At 35.2% G+C, this 7,690-nt stretch overlaps 1 annotated feature.

Annotated features, from left to right (window-relative positions):
- Positions 4,680 to 5,609: an enhancer, noted in NCBI's record as "OCT4-NANOG hESC enhancer chr2:151592090-151593019 (GRCh37/hg19 assembly coordinates)". NCBI's record gives its function as "activates a minimal SCP1, AML or CMV promoter by ChIP-STARR-seq in naive H9 embryonic stem cells {active_cell/tissue: H9 hESC(naive)}" and the evidence as "EXISTENCE:reporter gene assay evidence [ECO:0000049][PMID:30033119]".

Genomic DNA, 7,690 nt, shown 5'->3' on the forward strand with positions numbered 1-7,690 from the left:
CTTAAGCCAAGTATGGGGCCGTCCTAAGTGCATCTGTCATATTATACACCCATAAAGCCAGCTCTTCTCCATTTTATCCCAATAGATTCCTGTGAGGTCATGTACACAGAAATGCAGTTTTTAAGCCGTTACCCTGAAGGGCCTCCATATACAGTTGAGCAGATGCTGCACTGCACAATTCTAAGAATATTCACGTCAGAGGTTAAGTTAAGGAGATTGCATCTTCTTCTTCTTCTTCTTCTTTTTTTTTTCCTTGGACAGACTCTCGCTCTGTTGCCCAGGCTGGAGTGCAGTGGCACGATCTTGGCTCACTGCAACCTCCACCGCTCCAGTTCAAGCGATTCTCCTGGCTTAGCCTCCTGAGTAGCTGGGATTACAGGGCGCCTGCCACCACACCTGGCTAATTTTTGTATTTTTAGTAGAGACGGGGTCTCACCATGTTTGCCAGATTGGTCTCGAACATCTGACCTCAGGTGATCCACCCGCCTTGGCCTCCCAAAGTGCTGGGATTACAGGCGTGAGCCACTGCGCCCGGCAGGAGATTGCATCTTCTAAAACTGGGTGGCACACAACCTGCATCCCCATATGTGCCAGCCCTAGCAGTAGTTACATAAATCATATTCTTTGCTAGTTCAGTAAAGAGAGTCATAATACATAGTTACTACCTTTCTTATCCACCAAAAACTGCAAAGTGACTCAGTTGATCCTCAAATTCTGTGACTCTTCTATCTTTCCCTTTGTTTGCAATCATCAGAGAGGGTGATTTTCATCTATTAAATTCTAGTTCAAAGATAAGAAAAAACTCTTTTGTATTTTTCTCATAAACAAAACTATTTTTCTTGTTTTTTTCTGAATATTTGAAGCATTAATTTCCTGGCATTTCATTGGTAATATAACCCATTTATAGATTAGAATTTTATTCTGATTCATGTCTTACTTGGGAAAGCACTAGCGTTTATGGAAGATCTCCTGTGAGAGTCGAAGGGAATGCCTCATGGTCACTGAATCAACACAGTAGATTTATTGGATATTAGAGCTGAAAGTGACCTAAAAAATTTTCTTCCTCTACCATCTCCTCATACAGATGATAAATTGAAAACTGGACTTGGCACCAGTGCCATAGGTAGAAATTGGAAGAGTAAAGAAAGACCAGATCCCAGATCTCAGCAATCCTGATTTCTGGTACAATCAGAGAATATGTGCTTAAATCAGACCCATCCTGATAGAAAAATGATAAATGTTTCTTTCAGCATGTGAAAAATCTATGTCTTGTGAATAATTATAACTGTGACTTTGACTTGACAGATAACATGTTAGCAGCTACCCAGTCAGATCCTGTGATCTCACAGTGCCACTGTGGCATGACTGCATGAAATGGATGCTGTTAGTCATTGCAGTCTATTAGCAAAGTGGTTAAGATTCCTTATGTGCTGTCAGTGTAAACCCTCTTACTTCAGGTGTTTACAACAAACTCATAGGCATTCTGTTCCTAGTCAGACATCTGAAGCATAAAAACTCTCCACAATAAAAATAATTTAGAAGTATTTACTAAAAATTCAGAAATATCTCAGACATTTACAACATTTTATCAAACACAAAAAGGAGAGTTTACAAGCCAACTTGATTTTGCAATATATTTAAATTTGAAAATCATCATGAAATCCTGAAAGAAACATTGATTCAAACTTTCCTATATACAACAAACCATCAGAATTACTGGCCTCTGAAGTGATTTCACTTTGTCGTTGTGTTTCTATTTGACCTGGAGTCAATGTTTCTCTCACTGTAACAGAGAGAGGGGATTTCTTATCACCAGAACCAGACTGTGTTAAGTTCTAAATGTGAGGAGACAGAGCTTCCTTAGAAGCTCATGCTTCCTACCACCTCTATTATACACAGATAATTGTTTTTCTGCCAGTTCATTATTTCTTGATATTCTTTGCCCCAAATGGATGACAGGGTTTTTTCTGAAAAGTATTAAAACTGAACCTCAAAAAATTTGGCTACCAAGTCAGTGTTATATATTAAGTAATAATCGGCCCCATAGTTCTAAAAAACATTCGTGATTTCTATAAAAGCTAACCCTCCTTTTAAGGTGATATATTTGATAGCTTTGTGAGCCAGCACTATTCCCCTTATCAGGAAGCACTGACATGAAATGATACATGGAACAGGAATGGTGCTTAAGACAATATATCAGTTATTTCCTCATGTTAATATAGGTTGCATGCTTGGCCCTGACTCTTCATTGCTCCCTGTACCTATATGTTGCCATGTGATTTTGAAATTCTGCCCCTTGACCTCGGACTTGAGAAGGTGATTTATTTGGGCCAATGTGATACAAGTAGAAATGCAGCTTTCCCATTGCTTTTGTGTATCTTTGCCATTGTCATGAGAAGATCTGCCTTGCCTAGCCTGAGCCAGGAGGGAAGAACAGAGACAGGTGGAAAGAACAAAACTGCCCCGGCCAACCCACAGAGAAACAGCAAGCAGCAGTGTGGCCCCAGGCCACGCAGTCTAAAGCTGAGACTCCCAGTCAAGCCCAGCCTGTCAGCCAATGTGCAAAGTCCCACAGACACATGGGTGGTAAGAAGTGATTCTTATCTAAAGCCACTGAATTTTGACATAGTTTCTCATTCAGTAACAGGTAATATGTTAAGCTTTTATTGTCAAAACCAGGAGCAAGGCATAGCTGAAAATAGTTTATTTAGGACTTCTCTCGGTGTCCAAAATAAGGCCAGACAAATACTCTGTCAAGTTGCCATGCTTATTATTTTCAAACAGAGGAAACTGCTTTTATTTGGAGACAAGAATAGATAACAATGGCTAGCATTTGTTGAGTTTGCTGACAAACAGGTGGCCCTCCAGCTCTTTTGAAATAATAGTTTTCAAAGTTTGGACACCCTGGAAATGTTCTGATATGTAGAGACCAGAGGTTCCTTGCCATTCTGAAAATACCCCACTTTAGCTAATCTGCACCTCTCACTTAGAATCCCAATGCTATTTCTCCAACATAGGGTGTTTAGCTTTTATTTAACAAGATTTTATGGTCAATGGACACTACTATACTTTCGACTTACTAAATATCAGATATTTTTCATTTTATTGGGTTTAATGCTAAGATCAGAGGCTAAAGAATTCAAACTGGATTAACAGAGACTTTGGATTCTGAATAATTCTCATGAATATTGTAGGTGTTTGATCTAAATATCAAAGTAATTTCAAATTTACTAATGTTTAAATAAATGAAAGAATAAGCATAATTGTTAGGCCAATATATTTTACATCACAGTTATTGGATTCATAAAGCATTACTAACATATAGATGCTTCCCCATATGTATAACTTTTCTAATGATTTAATTGAAGTCAGTATCTTGGTTTGAGATGTACTTTGAGAATGAACTCAGGATATTTACTCATAAAAGTACTAGTGCAAACTAAACAAATAGCTAATGAAGGTAGAGAGATTATAAATAATTTTAAATATTAAATTAAGTATCGGAAAATGGATTGTGCCCTTAAAAACAAATAGCTATTTTTCATTTACTTCATGCAAAATGACTTTAGAGGTTAAAAAAAAAAAATCAATGTTTCATTACCTGAAGACCTTGCTGAGGATTGAGAATATTTTTCTGCTGTTGACATCTTATTAAGATTATTTAACAATGAAGTAATACATTTACCTCATTGGTGCTAAAATTGATATGTTTTTCAAAATACAGTCCAGAGTTTTCAGAGAAAACCTATGGATTTTTGACTCAATGTCAGTATCTATCACTAAAAGCTGTGAAATAAAACATTAAGTGTGTTGAGTCAAGAGAATAGAAAACATATTAAACAATAAAGTCCCGCCTTAGTGATGCTATTAAAAGTGGCAAAGAACATAAATATATTTTATAATGAGATTATTTTAAAAATTTCTGCTTTGCATTAATTTGCTATTGGTAATACATGTATTTTATCATTTTATAATTATGCCTTCAAAAACCTAGAAACTTTATTTATTTTAATATAGAGAAAATAGAGACATTTTATTTAAAACATAAAAACAAGCTTTCTTTTTGTTAACTTTGACATTAATTCAGGTTTATAGAAAGGTTCCAAGAATTGTACTTAACATTAGAATTTCCATGTGCCCTTCATTCATATTTTCTAAATGTTAAAATTTTACCGTGTTTTATCACACCCCTCTCCTTAATATATATAGAACTGTTTAAGAGTAAGTTGCAGACATGGTATTATATTTTCCCCTAAATATCTCAGTGTGTATATCCTCAAGCCAGTTGCCTTACATAAACGCAGTACAATTACCAATGTCAGGAAATTAATATTGATATAGTACTATAAGATAATCTATAGGCATCATTTAATCAATTACCCATTACAATAATGTTGTTTATAGCAAAAACCATTCAGGTTATGCATTACATTGAGTTGTGATATCCACCTCCTTTAAACACTCTCTTCTCTCCTGGAGGATTTCTTTACTAAGACTGTCTCCCCTTCTAGGTACACCTGTAGGTACCTCTCCTGTGAGCCATATTATGACCTACTGCATAATTTTTCAAATGTGGGGTTAACTTTCTCATAATGGTGATAACTTCAGAACAATCTTAACACTAAGGCAAGCTTCCCTCTTTTCTCTTCAGTGCAATTTTACCTAAGTTGTCCTCTATGAAGGCTAGCAGGAGGAGCATAAACAAGTATTGTAGAAAATAGCTTGCTTAGATTGGATGTTTAGAGTTACTTAGAGTTAATTTGAATTTTAAAAATTTTGTCTTGTAATTATTCTAAAAACATGAGTTTTTTCTGATTTGATTTCTTGTCGTCGTTTTTTTTCCCCCTTTGGAGGAAATGTTGGACCATTTATATTTACATCACTCCCATTGCTGGGTTATTGGGGAAACTGAAAATTCATGACTTCCTAAGTCCCCAGAACAATTATGTCTTACCGTATGTTAGAAATGCTTTTGTGATTGCAAGGAAGAGGAAACATAATTCATAGGTAGGGAGTTACGCTTCCCCTTAGGAAATTGAAAGGTACAAGAGATTGTTGTAACCACACTAACAATGAGAAAAAGCTGCATATTCTATAACATCAAGCTGCTTTCCATAACACAGGCTCTTTTGATTTCATGCAGCCTCTCTTCCTTTGCATGCTGGCTTTCATTGTTTTGCATGAAGCCTCATAGTTGTCCTATGGCTGCCATTGTCTCAAGTTTAAGGCAGAAGAAAAGAAAATGGGTCTGTTCTAGCCTTCTTTTATCAGGAAAAGCAAATTTTCTTCAAAAGTGAACATCAGGCCTCCATTAACATCTCATTGGCCATAAAAGTTTGTAATTTGCTTTTTTCAGTCTCTATCGTGGAGGTGGGGAAGGAGAAGTAATTTGAGAGTGGCAGCTGGGTTAGTCAACACAGGATCTATATACTCCTTTTATGTACCTAACAGCACTAAGTGGATTTCAAGTCACATGTGTTGAACCGAATTGCAATTTGACTGCAACCAAAATTCGCACATAGGACCATGGTCGTATTTATTTTTCCAGAAAAATCAATGATTATTTTCATTATATGATATGTTAAGCAGAGAATAATGCCATTAGTCCTCATCTTAGGAGTCCATCAATGGTATTATAGATGGCGTTGTATTTAGAGAAAGCAAAAACAAAAAAGATCAATATTTATACAGAATACAGAAACATAAGCTATGAACATCTGACCAAAAGCAGACATTTGAAATAAAGAACACCGCCTCCATCTGACCTAGTTGATATGTCTATGAACCTTTCCCTTACCTAGCACTTACGGTGTGCTTCTGTTAGCATTGTTGCAGATAGCCAAAGGAGCGATATATACATAAAGTTCCTTGCACAGTGCTCAATAAAAATTGCCAGCAATGACTTGTGATTTTATTAGTGCTATAATGTTTTAGCCAGTGCAATAAGAAAAAGACATGAAAATCATTCAGACTGGCAAAGTAGAATTAAAACTGTCTTTATTCCACACATCTATCTACGTACAAAGTCCCAAATAATCTAAAAAAAAAAAAATTCACTAGAAGTAATTTGTGAATGTATTGAGGTTTTATAACACAAGGCCAATATTTAAAACTCAATTATATTTTTACATACTGGTTATCAACAATTGCAAATTAAAATTGAACAAATGATACTATTAATAATAACATTAAAGAAAACATAAAACATTTATTTAAGTGTACTTCTAACAAACCATGTATAGGACCTGTACACTGAAAACTAGAAAGCCTTTCTGAAATATACTAAATGAAAGAAATTAAATGAGAGGTACTTTGTTCCAGAATCAGATGATTTAGTGTTGTTACGATATAAATTATGTTCAAATAGATCTATGAATTAAAGTAATGCCAATCAAAATTCCAAGAGTATCTTTCTTGTTTTTTATAGAAAATTACAAGCTGGGCTGGGTGCAGAGGCTCATGTCTGTAATCATAGCACTTTGGGAGGCTGAGGTGAGAAAATTGCTTGAGCTCAGGAGTTCAAGACCACCCTGGGCAACATGGCAAAACCCTGTCTCTACAAAGAATAAATTAACCAGGCATGCTGGTGCATGCCTGTAGTCCCAGCTACACAGGTGGCTGAGGTAGGACGATCACTCAGGTTGCAGTAAGCCAAGATTGTGCCACTGCACTCCAGCCTGGGTGACAGAGTGAGACCCTGTCTCAAAAAAAAAAAAAGAAAGAAAGAAAAAGTACAAGCTGATTCTATAATCCTCATGGAAATGCAAAAAACCTAGAGTTATCAAAACAATTTTGAAAACAAATAATAATGTTGGAGAACTCATTCTACCTGATTCTAAGACTTAATATAAAAGTACAGCATCAAGACAGTATAATATTGGCATATGACTAGTTAGTATCAATGGGGCAGAAGAGAGTTTAGAAATAGACCCACATATATATATAGCCAGTTGATTTTCAACAAAGTTGTCAAGGGAACTTGATGTAGAAATGGGTATTTTTTCAATAAACTCTGCTGGATAATTGGATATTCATATGCAAAATAGAAACAAAACCAAAACAGAATCTCAACTTTTTCTGCATTACCTTAAAATCATATAAATTTAGCTCAAAATATATTATATATCTAAATGTAATACCTAAAGCTTTGGGGAGAAATCAAAGGAGAAAACTGTTGTGACCTTGGGTTAGGCAAAGATTTCTTACATATGACACATACATATGTATCGTACATATGATACATAGAAAGTGCAAACCATAAAAGAAGACATTGGTAAATTATACTTCATTAAAATCAACAACTTCTGCTGTTTACAAGACAGTACTAGGAAAATGAAAATAGAAACAACAAAATGGAAATAAATATTTGCAAAACATTGATCTGATAAAAGACTTAGAGTATATATTCAAAAACTCTTAAAACTCAATAAGAAAACAAGCAATTCAATTAAAACTAGTCAATGATTTGAATAGACATGTTACCAAAGAGAAGTTATGACTGCAAATGATTACACATAAGTACATGGGAAAAATCTTCAACTTCATTAGCTAATAGGGAAATGCAAATTAAAACCTCAATGAGATAATAATACATATTTACTAGAATGATTAAAATGAAAAAGACCGACAACAGTGTTAGCAAGGATGCAGAGCAACCAGAACTGTCATGTATTGCTGATGGAAGTACAAG

Source organism: Homo sapiens, chromosome 2 (assembly GCF_000001405.40).
Source record: "Homo sapiens chromosome 2, GRCh38.p14 Primary Assembly".
Lineage (NCBI taxonomy): Eukaryota > Metazoa > Chordata > Mammalia > Primates > Hominidae > Homo > Homo sapiens.